Source organism: Homo sapiens, chromosome 8 (genome assembly GCF_000001405.40).
Source record: "Homo sapiens chromosome 8, GRCh38.p14 Primary Assembly".
Lineage (NCBI taxonomy): Eukaryota > Metazoa > Chordata > Mammalia > Primates > Hominidae > Homo > Homo sapiens.
The window spans coordinates 56,638,617-56,657,459 of record NC_000008.11 but is presented as its reverse complement, the minus strand read 5'-3'; the positions used below and the strand labels follow the sequence as shown (position 1 = coordinate 56,657,459).

At 39.8% G+C, this 18,843-nt stretch overlaps 1 long non-coding RNA gene across 4 annotated transcripts; it reads left to right on the top strand.

Moving 5' to 3' along the window:
• The first annotated feature begins 961 nt into the window (after window positions 1-961).
• LOC105375851 (uncharacterized) lies at window positions 962-18,563 on the top strand. 4 transcript variants are annotated; one of them, NR_188102.1, is made up of 4 exons: window positions 962-1,168; window positions 2,451-2,552; window positions 11,613-11,828; window positions 17,508-18,563. It is a non-coding gene; the product is annotated as an uncharacterized LOC105375851 (long non-coding RNA). The 4 variants fall into 4 exon arrangements; NR_188101.1 differs by having other exon boundaries at window positions 2,411-2,552; NR_188103.1 differs by lacking the exon at window positions 11,613-11,828.
• Window positions 18,564-18,843: the final 280 nt, after the last annotated feature.

Sequence of the window (18,843 nt, the reverse complement as noted above, 5' to 3'; positions counted from 1 at the left end):
TAGTCCTCAGCCACCGTAGATGATTCATCCTGGTGCTTCTTCATATCAGAAAAAAATTGGAAAAGTAACTAAAGATGCAATTTTGTTAGGAAGTCTCTTACAAATCCATATGTATTTGCTATACTTCTGTGTGTACACACACACACCATACATGCATGCACACGCACATAATGTCCACACACAGACATGCATGCACACACACAAACATGTACAGCATACACGCATGTGCACACACTCCATTTCTTTTTTGGAAAAGCCATAATATTACAAGCAGCTAGGACAAACTGTGTGACAAATTAGATAATAATAGATAAAATAATTAGAATGACTAAGCTATTCAGTCCTAAATAACCACATTTTGTATGGCATTTTCTTCTATTACTTTAATAATATTCTGATGAAGAGAAAATATTCAGGCCAAGTAACATTTCAGTGGAAATAGAATAAATGATCCATGGGAAAGAAACCTGTCATATATCTGCCCCACAGTAAAGATGGACTGAATTTAACAAGGATAAGCATTTAGAGAGTGCTTCTTGTGGGCTTGGTCCTGTGTTGGGCACAAAGGAAACCAACAGGGGAAAAACACAGCTTATGTCCCTAAGGACTGTATAGTCTAAAGGAGGAGGCAGATTTGTAAATATTTAGTTACAACATAGTATTTGGCAGGTATTTGTTGATATGTACTTTTACCTTGTTTCTAGGTTAGTGAGCCTTATTAAGCACCCAAACATAGCAAGTTGAATCATGTGTTCTCATCTTAGCCAGCAAACCTAAGAGGTGGTTCTTGCCTATGTTTATTTATTGAAATATATACAGAGAGAGAATTCTTAGGCTGATACCCATAGGAAACTTGTCTGTGCTTCATAGATCAACTGGCCAATCTTTTGCTAACAAGGCCCAGTCATTACATTATTTCCAATCCACGTGGACTGTTGATAACAGCCCCTGATGACATTCTCCTGTTCTAACTGGCCAGCCGCCATCTTGCAACATGGAGGATAGATTGCAAGTGGAGCCAAGAACAAAATACAGCTGACTCTGAACAAATCCTTTTCGTGACTTCTGGATAAAGGACAACTCAAGCCCCTCGTTCCAGTGGCAGTGGATTGATGTGCAGCTTCCTATGTGAAGGCAGAGCACACGTCTGTCTCTGGAGCTTCCTAGAGTAAGGATGCAGTCAGGTGATCAGCCAGTAAAGGAAATGGCATTTAGCTGTGGGGTTTTCAGAATAAGGAAGAGGTCCTGCTCCTAATGCAGAGAGAAAGGGGAAAACCTGGAGGAATAAGAAAACCTCTACTGGGGTTTTCCACTTTTCTGTCTCCTTGAGGAATTGACCAACAGAAGCATAGGATTTCTTAAAGCAGTGAGCACTAGAATATAAGCTGGCAAATAAGCAACAATTTTTCAGTAGTGAAACATTTTATAATTTTTATATACTCTAGATAATCATAATGTAGTGCCCAGTACTTCGTGAGTTCTTAACAAATATGTATTGATTGGAGAAACAAATGAATAACACCTTTGGTGCGTTAGATAAAAGGAAAGAAAATACAGAATATATCAGGAAAAGCTGGTGAATGGGGGTCATACCTCTTGATTCTACAGCAGCTCTGTTATCATTGTCATGTGATTTGGGTTGTCTCATTTGTAAAATTGGGTGACTGGTTTACTCTTAGGAACCTCTCTACTTAAACGCTTCTTTTTTTTTTTTTTTTTTTTTTTTTTTTTTTTTTTTTTTTGAGATGGGAGTCTTGCTCTGCAGCCCAGGCTGGAGTGCAGTGGCGCAATCTCCGCTCACTGCAAGCTCTACCTCCCGGGTTCATGCCATTCTGCTGCCTCAGCCTCCCAAGTAGCTCAGCGCCCGCCACCACACCTGGCTGATTTTTTTGTATTTTTAGTAGAGACGGGGTTTCACCGTGTTAGCCAGGAAGGTCTCGATCTCCTGACCTCGTGATCCACCTGCCTCGGCCTCCCAAAGTGCTGGGATTACAGGCGTGAACCACCGCACCTGGCTGCTTCATGTTTTTATTGAGACAACTATGTATACAGTAGGGAACTGTAGAATACAGTGTATATGAAAACGTAAAGGATTTTATGTCTGCAAAAGTAGGTTCATTCTAAAACTGTGGCTCAGATTATGGGTGAAAAAGGCGGTCCTCAGAATTGGTAACTTACTGTGCACAAAACTTGTATATTTTATTGCCTCAAATGTGTAATAGGTAGGTAATTTATTATACAGAACTGTGAATTTAAAAAGAAAGCATTTCTGCATTTGTTAAATGTAGTGGATTAAATGGTGTCCATCTCCTAATCCCTGGATCCCTTACATAGCAAATGAATATCACCTTACATAGCAAAAGATATGATTAAATTAAGGATGGAGAGGAGATTATCCTGGATTATCTAGGTTGGTTCTAAATGCAATCACAAGGATCCTTACAAAACAGACACATGGAGAAGACAGATACAGAGAAGGCAATGTGAACACAGAACAGAAAGAGATGTGGTTACGAGCCAAGGAATGCTGACAGCCACACACATTGGAAGAGGTAAGAAAGAAATTTGCCCCTTGAGCCTCCCAGGTAATTTGTTATAACAGCAACAGAGACTGAATGAGGTGGACTAGGCTACAATTTGAAGAGGAAATATCTAACTACTAGGTCACTTGGACACCTTCTACCAGTAACGGGGGCAGGATGGGGGGCGCGCATCAGGCAGTTGGTTGATATCAGTGGGGGAGGGAGTCTTTCAAAAGGGCTGGTTTCTGACCAGGCTCGGTGGCTCATGCCTGTAATCCTAGAGCTTTGGGAGGCTGAGGCAGGTGGATCACCTGAGGTCAGGTATTCGAGACCAGCCTGGCCAATATGGTAAAACCCCCTCTCTACTAAAAATATAAAGATTATCCGGGCGTGACTGCACACACCCGTAATCCCAGCTACTCGGGAGGCTGAGGAGGGAGAATCACTTGAACCCGGGAGGCAGAGGTTTCAGTGAGCCAAGATCGCTGCACTGCACTCCAGCCTGAGCGACAGAGCAAGACTCTGTCTCAAAAATAAATAGATAAATAAATAAATAAATAAATAAATAAAGGAATAATAAATAAATAACAAATAATAAAAGGGCTGGTTTCTGTTTAACCCTTAAGGAAGAAAGCCTAATGGCGTTTAGCGAGGGAGTTTAACAAGGCATATTGGACCTCCTATCTCATCATGGCCAGTACTCACTTTTTAAGGTTTTTCTCTGGGGTCCCCTTGGCTAAGAGGGGGTCCATTCAGTCAATTGGCGGGCTTAGGATTTTATTTTTATTTTCCAAGATTAATGACTTTATAGTAATTGATAAATCAGTCACAGAGTGCATAAAGCAAAAAAGAAATTATACAATCACAAGTTTAAAGGGAAAGAGAAAAAAAAACTTTGACTCAAAAATTAATAGTCCAATTCTGAATTTACCATTCTATGTGTCGCTGACTATGGGTTCTCAGGCTTTCATGTAACCGAAACTGACACAGGTCTGTGAAGGTTTTCCAGATAAGGCTTTATTGCCTATGCCCCAGCACAGGGGAGCCAGCTGAGGAACAAGAATTCTCAGCTGGCTCCCTGCCGGCAGGTCTTTGTGGTGTTTTAAGAAGGGCGACTTGAGGCCCGGCGCGGTAGCTCATGCCTGTAATCCCAGCGCGGAGGCGGGCGGATCACCTGAGGTCAGGAATTCGACACCAGCCTCGCCAACACGGTAAAACCCCGTCTCTACTAACTAAAAATATAAAAATTATCCGGGCGTGGTGGCACACACCTGTAATCCCTGTAATCCCAGCTACTCGGGAGGCTGAGGCTGGAGAATCGCTTGAAACCGGGAGGCGGAGGTTGCTGTGAGCCGAGATCGCGCCATTGCACTCCAGTCTGGGCAACAAGATGGATACTCTGTTTCAAAAAAAAAAAAAGGTGGGGGGAGTGGGGGGCGACGTGAATAATTTCGAGGTACTGTGTGGGGCAGAGCTGCAGGGTGCGCAGGCGCAGTGAGAAATAATGTTAATACATGCATTGCAGGGTGAGGCTGGAGGTCTGGATTGTCATTCTTCTGGTTTTCTGCGCATGCGAGTGGTGGGGTTAAAGCCCTTGGGTGAGATTTATGATGCGCTGCAGCTTACCTTAGCGTTCCCACACGGGTTGCAAGGTTTTGTGGTCAGCGGGAATGGCGTCAGTGGGGGTGGTGCAAGGTCTGATGGTTAGCGGGTGTGTATGGAAAAATATGTTATGGGATAGTTAAGGCTGGGTCCCATCCCTACTCTGTCTCATATGGAAAGAAGAAAGATTAAAAGTAAAATATATTGAAAAAAGAGTTTCAAATAGTAATTCTTGTTTGAAACAGAATACATTGAAAAATATGTTCTGATTCTTTAATTGGGGATTTAGAGGCCAATTTTGGGATGTGATCCCATGTCCCAGGCCCCTAGTTCCTCTGCTAATGAGGTTGGCAATAGTTCCTGAGCAGAATTGGGACTCCTTACAGAGCACGGCCAGCTGGTCCCCACGTTGCCTCACCCAAATAACAGAAATGGACTAAAAAAAAAATGCCCTGTATTCATTTTCAAGGCTGACATAACAAAGGACCACCAATTAGGTGGCTTACAATAACAGAAATGTTTTCTCTCACAGTTTTGAGGCTAGATGTCACAAATAAAAGGGATGACAGAGCCAAGCTCCATCTGAAACCCACAGGGGAGAATCCTTCCTTGCCTTCCCCAGCATGTTTGTCAGCAGTCCTGGCACTCCCTGGCTTGTGGATGCAGCACTCTAGCTCTGCATCCATGGTCACATGGCCCTCCACTCCCTGCGTGTCCCTGTCTTCTTCCTTTATTATAAGAACAACTTTTATATTGGATTAGGACCCACCCTACTGACCTCATCTTAACTTTATTACCTTTGCAAAATCTCTATTTCTGAGTAATGTCACATTCACAGATGCTAGGGGTTAGGACTCCAACATATCTTTTGGGGAGACACCATTTAACCCACAGCCTGCTCCACTGCCCACATTGCTAGTCTCTGCTTCCCTCGATATTCCTTTTGCCTCTAAGCCTCTCCCAAAGACAGTGCAAAAGATGGAATACAGAAATTTTTTTTCTCTGGTCTGTGAAATCTCATCCCTCAAAGAGCCCTTCTCTTGGACTCTAACAAGAGCAACTTAACACACATAGGGCCAATTCCTTGCTTGACCAAAGGCTCCACGCCACCATGCATGCACTGTGGCCCTGGGACTGCTTTGTGCTGGAAATGGCCTTTGGGAAAATCTGCACTGCCCCTGCTCCTCAACCACTGCCATGGAGAACTCTGCCTGCTGCTCCCCAAAGAGCACTAGCTCTGGCTTGGGAAATGAACAATACCATAGGATCAGTTTTCTGGCTAAAGGGGGTGCAGCTAACCACTAAAATTCAATTTTCAATCTAGAATTACCCACTGAGCTTTTAAAAATTCAAAGATTCTAGACCCATCCCAGACCTTCCTTTTCAGAATCTCTCAGGCATGTGTATTTTTTAAAAGCTCCATCAGTGATTCATATGTCCAGCCAAGGCCCCATCCTTTCTAAAATGGGAGCCACACTGGAGCCAGCTATCCTTCCACCTGCTCACAAGATTGCCCAGTATCATGGATTTCTTCCTGGGGGAATATGGTCCAAATTACTTTCCCGTATGTCTAGCCCTCCCAGCCTGTGGCACTGGACACCTGCCAGAGCCCCAGCCGAGCTATATCCCAGTGGTCTTAAAGGTATCAGTCCCCTAAATGAAGATTCCTTCAGTGTCTGTGGGACTGAGAGCATTCGGGCCTTGCCTCTCAGTGGATGGCAGGCATGTTAGTGCAGAGCAACCACACAAGCAATGTTATAGTTTGGTTTGTTTGACCTTTCCCAATCTTATGTTGAAATTTGACCCCAACATTGGAAGTGGGACCTGATGGGAGGGGGTTGGGTCTTGGGGGCAGATCCCTCATAAACAGCTTGGTGCCCTCCTCGTGGTAATGAGTGAGCTCTCACTCTGTCAGTTCCTGTGAGAGCTGATTGTTGAGAACAGCCTGACACCTTCCCCCATCTTGCTTCCTCTCTCACCTTGTGATCTCTACACATACCAGCTCCCCTTTGTTTTCTGCCATGAATGGAAGCAGCCTGAGGCTTTCACCAGATGCCCAGTTTTGAACTTTTCCAGACCTCAGAATCATGAGCCAAACAAACCATTTTTCTTTATGAATTACCCAGGCTTGGATATTCCTTTATAGCAACACAAGTGGAATAAGGTAGGTCAGTTTGTTCACTTGGGCACATTCATTCAGCAGGATTGTGTGTAGAATGAAGAATGTACAGAATTGGAAGTGTGGCAACTAGAGTATTCCTGGAATACTGTAGGTATGAGGTGATGGGATCAGGAAAAGGAAAAAAAGCAGTAGACTGAACTGACCAAAGTGCAAGCCTGGAAAGATACTGTTGAGAAATGATTGGCAGGTGTTATGGATGGAATGTCTGTGTCCCTCAAAAATATATATGTTGAAACTCTAATCCCTAATATGATGGTATTTGGAGATGGGGCCTTAGGAAGGTAATTAGACCATGAAGGTCTCATGACCTAACAAGATGATAGGATAAATGCTTTTTTTTTCAAGATAGGGTATCGCTCTGTCACCCAGACTGGAGTGCAGTGGCGCCATCTCAGCTCACTGCAACCTCTGCCTCCCAGGTTCAAGCTATTCTCCTGCCTCAGCCTCCCGAGTAGCTGGGATTCTGGGCACCCACCACCATGCCTGGCTAATTTTTGTATTTTTAGTAGAGACTAGGTTTCACCATGTTGGCCAGGCTGGTCTTGAATTCCTGACCTCAGGTGATCCACCTGCTTCGGCCTTCCAAGATAAATGCTTTTATAAGAAGAGACACCAGAGAGCTTGATTTCTGTCTTCTCATTGTGAGGACACAATCAGAATGAGGTGTTCTGCAATACAGGAAGCAGGACACCACCAGACACTGGACTTTTGAGCCCCTTGCTCTTACATGACTCAGCCTCCAGAACTACGAGAAATAAATGTTTATTGTTTAAGCCACCTAGTCTCTGGGATTTTTGTTATAGCAACCTGAGCTGACCAAGGCTGCAGGACATGAAGACAGACCATCTGTGCAAGGCAAGATAGTGAAGCAGGGAGAGAAACTGACTGAAATATGGAAACTCAGGTGCAAATCTGGTCATAAGAAGATGATGGGTTTAGAGTTAGACATATTAAACTTGATGGTGGAACTTTGAAATGTAAAGTAGAGTGTCAAGAATGTGATTCTGAAATTCAGGAATTGGACCTAGGCTTTTAATACATATTTTGAAAGTCATCCAAGAAGAGGTGTGAAGAATGGCTAAAGTTTCTAAATGAAACATGAAAACCAGGTCAGTTTCAAATATCCACTTTGGAGCCATAAGGTTCAAACTCTGAACAATAAGTAGTATCATAAGACAGTGTCAGAGGACTATTAAATGATGGTCCAGGGGCTTCCGAACTTCAGTACTGGAAGAGAGGAGACTAGGGGCAATGAGTGAGTGGTGGATAATATTGACAGAAGCACTCATTAGAATGCCCCATTCCAATCCCCAAGAACTTGGTTTTACGTTGAAGGAAGCTGAAATGACTGATTAATCCATGACATAGACACCACAATTCAAACACATCCCAAACTACACACTTACACACTTAATATTCCTGCTGTGGGTAAATGGGTCCTGAATATGGTTTTTAGACCAAACTCAGCATCAGAACATCCCAGATGAATGAGAACTAAATCAGTATGAGGGGGATGGAATACACAAAAATAGGTTCCGCAGTGCTGCCCAGCTATAGGAGAGAGGTTATTCGGGGATCCTTGAGTGCTGACCTCACTTTCTTGCCAAAGATTAGTAAGAGGTTTGGAGACTCTAAATTGAGTCAAGATATAGAGGCTTTCAATATTTTCAACCATATCTTATGTAAGTACATTGATTATTAATGTCAGTTCTTCAAGGGTGAGGAACTAAGCCTTGAGCACTGTATTGGGGGTTCTCCAGAGAAACAAAACCAATAGGAGAAATACAGATGTATAAGAGGAAATTTATTATGGGAATTGGCTCACGTAGCTACAATCTTCTATGTGTAAGCTAGTCCCACAATCTTCTATGTGTAAGCTAAAGAACCAGGAAGGCCAGTGATGTATTTCAGTTTGAGTTTGAAGGTCTGAAAACCTAGAGCTCTGATGTCTGAAGGCAAGAGATGATGGATGTCACAACTCAAGAAGAGAGAGAATTCACTCTTCCTTCACCTTTTTATTCTATCCAGACCCAGCTGATTGGGTGATGCCCGCCACATTGGTGAGGGGAGATCTTCTTTACTCATTCTACTTATTCACATGCCAATCCCTTCTGGAGACACCCTCACAAACACTCCCAGAAATAATATTTTACCAGCTATCTGGGTATCACTTAACCCAGTCAAGTTGACGCATAAAATTAAGTATTGCCAGTGTAAAATGATGACAATTGCTAACTCACCAGCTGCCAGCCACTGTTCAAAGCACTTTGCTTACACTCTCATCTCATTATCACACCATCCCTATGATGTCAGCATTGTTATTATCTCCATTTTACAAGGAGAAAACAGGCCCAGCGAGGTTGAGAACCTTGCATGGTGTTTCACAGCAAATAAGCAGTGGCTCCAGGACTCTCACACAGGCTATCTGGCTCCAGGGCCTGTGCTGATGATAAGGAAGGTGATGTTCAGTAAGGACTGAGCTACCTCATTTAGCAAGGCCCACCTCATGGTCATGGTGTGGGCCTTGTCAGGCACCCTGGGGCACTCTGTGATGTCCCTGCTCCAGCCCAATGTGGCCACCTTCTTCCAAGCAAATGTTAACCTCCTGGGTAGTTCAGCTATGAGCTTAATGCAACCTGCAGTGGAGGCATAGCATACCTGAGCACTGCTCTTTCCAAACAGTCCCTTTTCCTCTGCAGTCATCACCTACTGATGGTGCCAGCCTCCTCCCAAGAACCAAGACACACAACTGGCATGTTTTCTCTCTTACTCTTGCCCCATTCTTCAAAGTGGTTGCCTGCACTACAGACTTCGTGTCACTGGTGTTGACATCCACTCCTCTCTTCCCTCTTAGATGCCCCCACCCTGATGGGCCAGACCTTCCTAAATGCCACCTCCTTAAATGCCACTCTCTCCTTGCTGCGGTCCTATCGTAATCTGCTTTCAGATGAATCTTCCTAAAGAACAGGCTTTCTCATGCCCCCCTACCCCAAACTCCTCAGGTCTCCACTGGAAAACATCCAGTTCTATAGTATGGTCCTTAAAGGTCTGCGTGGTTTTCAGCCTAAATCCCCAACCTTATTGCTGCTGCTTCTTTTCATGACTTGTATTCTTACAAATTGAAGAAATTGCTGGCCCCAGCCCAATATTTCCTATTTCTCTGTCTTTGCATTCTACTTTTCTACCTGAAATGCCTCCTCTTGCACTAGTTCTCCCACATTCCCCTCTTCACTTATCTAAAAGCTGTCCTTCTTTAAAGGATCAATTCAAGTGCCTCTTCCTCCAGGAAGTCTTTCCAAATTTCTCCTAATTGCAGGTAATGCCACCTCCCACTGAACTCCATAGCTTTTTAGTTATTCCTCTGAGGCGCGGTCACTTTCTCCTTGTTTTGTGCATACTCGTAAAGAGATTGCATCTCCCTAACTGGATTGGAATTCATCTTTTTATTCAGAGAATTTATCAGTTTCCTATACTTTAGTTACCTTGTTATTTCATATTTAGAAAGAATATTTTTAAAATCCTATTGGATTTGTTTATTATGAGATTGTGTGAGGTTTTGGAGAGAGTGAAAAAGCAGAATGTAAAATTTGGAATCTAACTAGGCTGTGTCCCAGCATTACCACAGAGATATACTAGTACCTGACTCACCAATAAGCGAGAGCTGCAGCCAGCCAAGAAATGCAGCCAGCCAAGGTCAGAAAGTGAAGGAGGACGTCCTGCAGAGAAAGAAAAACAGTGGGCATGAAACTTCTGGACAGAGAGCTTTGGTGAGGGCATCCCAACCAGGTGCTTTTGCCTTGCAGCATGTTAAAAGTACATTTAGTCTGTGACCCTGAAACTTTAACCTCAAGACATCCACAACTGAACACCTGCTCTCTCTTCTTGTCCCTTCACAGGAACTCCAAGGCCAGTCTCAGGCCTTCACTCTGACTGTGTCTTCCTTAAAGCGTGGTGTGAATCCACAGATACCAGAATCAGCTGGGCAGCTCTCTCACAATGCAATTTACTGGGCCCTATTTCAAGCAAACAAAGTCAAAACCTTCTCTCTGGAATTCAGAAATCTGCATTCATGACGATCTTCCCCAATAATTACTATGAAAAAAACGAAACGTTGAGCATTCCTGCTTCAGAGCAGAGGTCAGATGGCTGCCTGTATTCTGTGGCCTTCAAGGCACATGTTTACAGATGAACATTTTCAATCAATTTGATGAGAGGGAGCGCTCACTTTACAACCTAATGAAGTGAAATGTTATAGCCTGAAAAAAATTATTCCATTCTTCTCACTAATAGACCTGTATTGTAAAAGACACTGTACTCGATTATGATATCTTGAAGTTGTTCAACAAAATTACTGTAGAAATTTATTTTTGTATTGTTATATAAATACACACAGAATATCCTTGATTTTGCCTCTTTCTTGTAAAGGCTGAAATGTTTACTATCTGGGCTTTTACAGAAAAATTTGTCAAGGCCTGCTTGAAAGCTTAATATCTTAATACAGTAAATCTGTGACAATCAAGGCTTGAAAAATATATCTTATCCACATTGTAAAATGTTTAAAATCTGTGGTCTTGTAGGTATACATAGTTCACTTCATTCCCCTTAAAGAAAAAAACAACACCTGTCATTTTTCTCCTCTGGCCTCTAGAGCAGAGGTTTGGGTGAGTCTGAGGACATAATACAAAGCAGGAGAGGGAACCTTAATTCAGGCTATGCTAGTCCAACATAGAGATGAAAGCCAGTCCCCAAAATCTCACTTTGAATATTCTAATAATTCAAAGAAAGACTCAGCATTTATACAAATATTTTGAAGAAAGTTGCAATTGAAGAATATGTAAATGCAAAAGACTTTATTTTCCAACAAGTAAAAACAAGCTTGAGAAACTTTGAAAGGTAGATACCTGTGGGGAAATCTACCCTATGACCAGGGCTTTTCTTCATAATCAAAAGACTTGATTTTGATTCTGGAAAAATGGTACCTACTGAAGAAGGATTTTAATGTCCAAAACGTGACTTGTTTTTTAAAAGATGCATGTTTAGTACTGTCTTCGTTGTTTTTAAACAATATGTAATCTGTGATATTTGCATTGATTTCCATCACCTTCCCCCACTTCCTGTGAGAACTTGATCTCCAGGGCCTTGGTTTTGCTAATCAATGCATTTTTCTTTTGTTTGTTTGTATTTTTTATTTCTGGTTGGCTAGAGTTAATTGTTGAAAATAAAAGTCAATTCTGCTCTTCCAATGTGATTTATTTTGTTTTTCAATGGTGATGTTATTTATAACTATTTAAAACTATTCGTTATAGCTTTATTAATGGAAGAGAAGAAGCACTATGGAGAAGATAAAAAGTTTGTGTTGCTAGGAAATGACACCCTAAGGACAGATTATGGCTAAGAAGAGAAAACTAAAGGGAGAAGACTTAGCAGTGGGATCCATTTAATGAAGAACCAAATAGTCTTGACTCAAAAGGCCTTGTGAAAATTCCTGCGTAAAATCTGACAACCGCAAATTACCCAAAAAGGTTAGATTATGTTGGTGTATTCTTTTTGAAGGGTATTGCAATGAGCTTTGCATTTTAGAAAGATTCTTACAAAATTCTCAAAGTAAAGATGATTTGGCACTCCAAGGTGAGGCACTTCAATTATCTCTAATGAGAACAGTCAGTGCAATTTAACAAGCATTCTCTAGACAAGTGAATACCCAAAGAAGAGTAGCCTCCCCTTGGATGTGCTCAGGACAATCCACTGGGGAGCAAGAAAAAAATATTAGAGCCTCCATTTGTGTTTACTTTCCTCTCACCCTTTCCTATTCTGTTTTTATATATTTTGTATTGCATACACCATATAGCATTGTGTGTATCAATTACAAATACAGCAGTTAGCAACACTGAGGTGCATGTTCAAAAGTTTTTACAAGTATCGAGGATCATATGGTTTGGCTCTGTGTCCCCACCCAAATCTCATGTTGAATTGTAATCTGCATGTATTGGAGGAGGGGTCTGGTGGGAGGTGACTGGATCATGGGGTGGATATCCCCCTTGCTGTCCTTTTGCTAGTGAGTGAGTTCTCCTGAGATCTGTTTTTTTAAAGTGCGTAGCACTTTCCCCCTCACTCTCTCCTGCTCTGCCATATGAGGACGGTGCCTGCTTTCCCTTTGCTTCCAACATGATTGTAAGTTTCCTGAGGCCTCCCAGGCCAGTTTCCTGTACAGCCTGTGGAACTGTAGTCAATTAAACCTCTTTTCTTCATCAATTACCCAATCTCAGGTAGTTCCTTATAGCAATGTGAGAATGGATTAATACAGAGCACGATCAGAAATGTTTGGAAGCCTCTGCTACGCATATATCAACATGCAGAACTAGTATTAAGTACAATCTTGCATTGTTATTGTAAAATGTAGAGCAAAGTTGCAACTAAGGACCATTGCTTATAGAATGGATTCGCCTTTGCTCTTGGACAGCTGTACATTATTAACATAGAAGTAAGGAAACACATCCTAATGTGTAAAAGAAACAAATAGGAAAGAAAATCAGGCTTCCCCAAAAAGGCTTTTCCATCCTATTTCAGTCCTAAAATTGATGCCTTGTTTTAAAAATTTTCCTATGTACTCAAATCAACATAAACAATGACTATCAATGCCAAACTCTTGCCATTATGTGTGTGTGACATAAAAGGTGACAGTTGGTATTTGTGAATGGAGAACAAAATGGAAAAAAGATGGTAAAATATAATGCACACTCCCTCTTTTTAAAGCTGTGATGGTTAATTTTATGTGTCCACTTTGCTAACCATGGTGCCAGTTGCTTGGTTCAACACAAGTCTAGATGTTGCAGTGAAAGCATCTTTAGATGTGATTAACAGTTAAATCAGTAGATGTTGAGTAAAACAGATTACCCTCCATAATGTAAGTGGGCCTCATCCAATCAGTTGAAGGCCTTAAAAACAAAGACTAAGGTCCCCTGAAAAGGAAGGAATTCTGCCTCCAGAATGCAACATAGAAATTCTGCCTGAGTGTCCAGCCTTCATATTCAAGACTATAGACTGCAAGCTCAACTCTTACCTGAATCTCCAGCTAGCCTATGGGTTTTGTACTTACCAGCCCCCAGAACTGCATGAGCCAATTTGTTAAAAATCTCTCTCTCTCTATATATATATATATACACACACATAAACACATAATATATATATAAAAAATACTTGTATATAAAATATATCATTGTTATTGTTGTTCTGATTCTCTGGAGAACCCTAATACAATAGCTTTCTCTCCCAACTCCCATTTCTTAAAGTAGAGATAAGGTATTTTTACTTTACATGTAGACAAATAAATCTTTCAAAATTAATCAAACTACAGAACAATAGGAAGTGTACAAAATATACTCACCCAATTTGAATTTGTCTCAACTAGAGATAGGTACAGAAACATATTCAAGAGTACTTTATGTGACACAAAAGCTTAACTTGATTAGGATAAATATCTTCTCACTTTCTTGACCAGTAGTTTGTAGATGAAAAGGATTATGTCAATCAGGAGAACTGTTACTCAGTCATTCAATCTAGTACATAAATTGAGTTGCTAGATGACTCTCACCCCAGAACTTAGTAGAGCCCCTAGAATAAGGTTGTATTCTTTCTTTGAATGTCTTTGAATCTAAAATAGTTGTCTCTCCAGGTGTAGTTTATTTCCGCCCAGTTAATGTGATCTCCATGACGTGGTCACTTGCCTGGGGATCACAATCATATCTGAGTGGAGTTTCCTAGCACTGCTCGATTTTCTCTCTGCCCACTGTGTCACTACTGTGGAGAAAGCACATCCACCTTGCTCGTTAAGAATCAGTGAATTTATAAATTGCAATTTCTACTTCACAGTGATCTTTACTATATCCATGCTCAATAACACTGCTTTGTTCCCACCACTTACTCAAATGCTGAACACCATGAGTCTACCTTAAAAATAATGGGGTTCCCATCAGAGACGTGCCTTCTGGATTCCTATATGGGAACACATGAGGCTTATTACAGGTTGACACCATTCATGTGACCCTTGAGAACCTATACCTCTCAACTTCACTTTCTTCATCTTTAAAATGCAAATTATGATTCTTTGATTTCCTTTAAGAAGGATTGAAGATGAAATGTGATGATAATGTATGTAGAAGAAGTCTGACTATAAAAAGCTCTACGTACATAATTTTTGCCTACTGTTTGGGTTTTTTTTCCCCTTAATAAGTATTCTCAGGTTCTAGCCAAGCATATTTACATATCGATGACACCTCAGCTATTATATTGAACTCTATATGTTTCTTACCTTTACTTTGGACATTGGTCTATAGATATTGAACTCAATTAATAGTCTGCTTAACCTGCTTCCTTATTGTTTTCACTTAAAAACTACTGGAAAGTTCCTCAGTTATGATTATTAAGTCTGTATTATTTATTTATTTTAAATCACAGATTTTCCGGACAGTGTAACTGACCAAAATAAAAAATATTTTTATCCAGTGCAAATTCTTGACAAACAGATTATAGTTGAGATTTATGAGTCCAGTATGCATGTAGTGAGTATTAGGAACTTTTAGCCATGACAGAAAAACAAGAATAAGTCCCTGTGGATTAAACAAACAAACAAACAAACAAAACCCTAAGTAAATAATTTAACCTTTTTTCCTCCCAGAATTGAAGTTTCTAAAGCCAATTTTGTTCTTTTCCTTCCCAAATAGATGTTTCCCAATTTCTTAATTGATGGTAGAGGGCTATCACTAGAAGAGAAAACCTCAAGGACTAAATCTATTGGCATTATAGGGCCTGTGGCAGCTCATTATCCTGGGCATGGCTTTTGTCTCCTTTGACTTTCATGGTAACCAAAAAATGCTGGCTCCAAACATGTACCATGTGGTGAATTTTTTGCTTCTTTATTCCCTTGTCTTAATTAAGTAACAATCTAGGATGCCATGTAACCCCAACCAATATGTTTTTATATAGCCATGGGAATCAAAATGACCACAGGTAGCAAAAACCTGTCTATGATATTTTATATAAATGTTTCTCTTTACAAAAATATATACTATATAAATCTGCATATCTGTAATATTTTTGTATAAATGTTTCTCTTTGTATTTCCATAAAAGACTTGAGGTAGTTACCACAATTGTTAGGTCTCTTCTAAGGAAATTATTAATTGAAAAAAAATTTTGGAAAACTTAAGACTAGATATTGGCATATCTCTCTATATATCTGGGCATATAGGGTTTTTAAAATGAGCCTTAATATCAAAAATACATTGGCACAAACCTCAAAGCTGGTTTTCTGTCTGTTAAAAGGATAAAGTTTTCTTGGAGCACTGATATTATTTAAAAGTTTTTTTTAATAACTCTTTGAATGATCTGGCTTGTAAAAAGTTTTTTTATCTTATAAAATAAGTTCTTGTATTTCATGTTTTCTTTTATCAAATATTTGATTACTTAAGAAAATTGCATCCTCTTTATTAAAACAGATAAATTTTTTCAACTTTATAACTTTGTGCATTTGCTTTTGAAGTCTTTAAATTATCACTCTGGATAAATGAATATTGCTTCATAATGACCTATGATTCTATTTGATCAAGTGTCTTAAACCTTTAATATTTCTGACAAACTTCCCAAAATCAAATTCTAAATTAAGTATTTTTGATCTCTAACTTACTTTGAGATATTCTAGAGGGCTCCTTAAAAATCACAAAGGACTTGTCTCTGACCTTGCAAGTAAGGAATATTAAACTAATTAGGTTTATTTAATATGTTAAATTATATGGGAAGCAGTGCCAAACAAGTAATGCTAAACCTTCTTTAAGTTATATCTATGGGAATGTTAGTGACATGAATATTCCAGAGATTATATAATAATCCTAGACACCTGAAATGTCGTGGTATAATATTATCAGTTGTAATTTTCTATTGTGTTAAAATGCTGTATGCCACAGAAATAACCAAATTTCCTTGTCAATTACATCATTATTATAATGAACTCTCATCAGATTTTTGACCATGGCCATTTTAAATCTTGTCATCCACAGAGAGTTAATTGTTTTACTTTAGTACTTTCCTGAAAGCTTTTGTAAGCAACTATCATCCTAAAGTGTTTCATCTTTAATGAGATTCATGAAAAGGACTCTGACAAGTACAGCTTTTTGATAAGTTTAAGATTACATAATTAGACTGAGTAAGAAGTTCCAGAATTCTGATGAAGAAACTGATAGGCTCATGGAACAGTTAATCAAGATCAAGCAGAGTAAGAATTAGTTACATGAGACTGAATAAACTGACGAAGAAGAATTACGGGTTAGGATGGCCTTTTTATTTGAAATTTTGTTGGTCCTTTAATGTTTCATTTTCCAGATTTAAGGGAAACTTTTTTTTTCTCATAAGCTATCTATAGCTTATAGCAATTTGGCAAATTATACCTTTGTAAACAGAATTAAAACAATTACTTTTTCCTCTCTCTACCTGATTCCCTCCAGAATTCAGAAACTATTAGCAAGTATTCTTATTTTCATGGTAATATAGTTATTTGCATAAGTTCAAAAAGAATCTATTCTCTTTATAAAAGGGCACAATAGAACATTGAACACATTAGAACACCATAACATTGATTATATTACCAACGTTTAGACTGGAATGTCATATTTGAGAATGTGTGTAGAATACCTGCCTTCAAGGGTTTTTGAGCCTTATGAAAATTATGTCCAGGAAACTTAAAAATATTTGGGGGATCTCGAAAAGAGAGGAGTTCACCTACATTTATAGATATTGCAGGCAAAATCTGATGATGAGTCCTTGGCATGGCTTCCTGGTCTCAAGAGGCTTTTAAAAGTCTAATCTGAGATACCTCATCGAAAGTTCCAGAAGACTTAAAGAGTCTCTGTGACAATCACTATTCTTGTTACACTTATACAAAAAATTAGGCCAAGTTTAATGAGACTAGACTTACTTCACAAATGATTTAGTCTTACTGTGATTATATTTGATAGAAATGGGAACAGCTGTAGAGAGAAAAAAAATGTTTCAGAAGAAAATTAAAATACATCTGTTATTAGAATAGAGCCCTGTTCATTGTTTTTGAGGTTTCTATTATCTAGCTGTAGACAGAACTAGATCCTGTATCTTCTAATTTCCTCCAATATCTGTCTGTGTCTCTCCAAACTCATGTTGCCAATTTTCTCCTAGATTTCTAACTTGGAATCACTAAGGACAAAAACTCCTATATTCCTGAAGCCCTACAAGCTGGAACTGGACAACTCGATGTAAATTTCAGGAGACAACCCCCATGCCTGATGTGTGGGCCACTAAGGGAGTTTACCAAAACATCCAATGCCATAACCAGAGACATTCAAACTAAACCAAGAAAATGTTTCAAGCTCAAATCCAGAAATCTTGTCAACTAACTGCCCTCTGAACTCAGAGACTGAGTTTATAATTTGTCCTAAGCCATTAACCTTTGTTAATAGCTTTTTTTTGTTTTGTTTATTTTTTCTGGTTTGGTTCATGAGGGCATTTGTTAAGAAGCATACTCTAATCCCTTGGTATATCCTCCTGATAGTTCCCATTGTAATCTCCCAGCTGCATTCTCTCAAGGGTTTTGAAGGTGTATTTGCAGCGATTAGTGGTATACTAGGTGGCCTCACTGTGATTACTGCAACAACTGCAAGATGACCAAAGGAATGTGTCTTCCACAAGGCTGACATTGTGACTTATGAGTTTCATGCTAAGACAAAGACAACCCTGCCATGATGATGACTGACAGTAGTGCTGATGCCATAAATTTTTATCAAATCCCTCAGTACAGGTTGAGTCTGATCAAAAGGGGAAAGCTGTTCAGTAAAATATGTGGGAGGTCATTGTTTTGGATTAAGCTCCTGCACTAGGCCCCAACAGACCAGATCAAACCAGAATGGAGTCACTCATGCCAGATGCCACATTGTCAAACTGAATGTAAAAATAGGTCACTTGTTCAAAAAAAAAAGGAGATTCACAGTAACCAATTGAAAGGGGCCCAGTCAACCTAAGCTCACATGATAAGGAAGTCTCCTCTAGTTTAACGTATGCAAGGAAAGTAGCTTTGAAATCACCAGTCCACTTTTTGTTTCTTCTTTCTGCTTTCTTCAGTCTTTTCCATTATAAAGCCCACACATCTGCTCAGCTCAGTAGGGCACCTTTCTATTTCATAGATGGAATGTCACTTGATTCATGAATCATTAATAAAAGCCAATTTGATGTTTAAAACTCAGTTTGCTAAAATGTTGTTCTTTAATAGTACTATGGACTGAATTATTTGGTGTCAGATAATGTCCAGGAGAATGTCCCCTCTACACTAAGTTCTAAGCAAATGGGCCATAAACACAAGTGTAATGTTGAAATCAAATAACATAACTAGGTTTATTGTTTATCCTTTAGCTTGATTGATGTTTAATAAACTGTACATGGCAATGTGGTATAAACGGTGGGGGAACCAAACTGCATGAAGTGGAGTGCGAAGTGGATTTGATGAAGGAGGGCAAGAAGG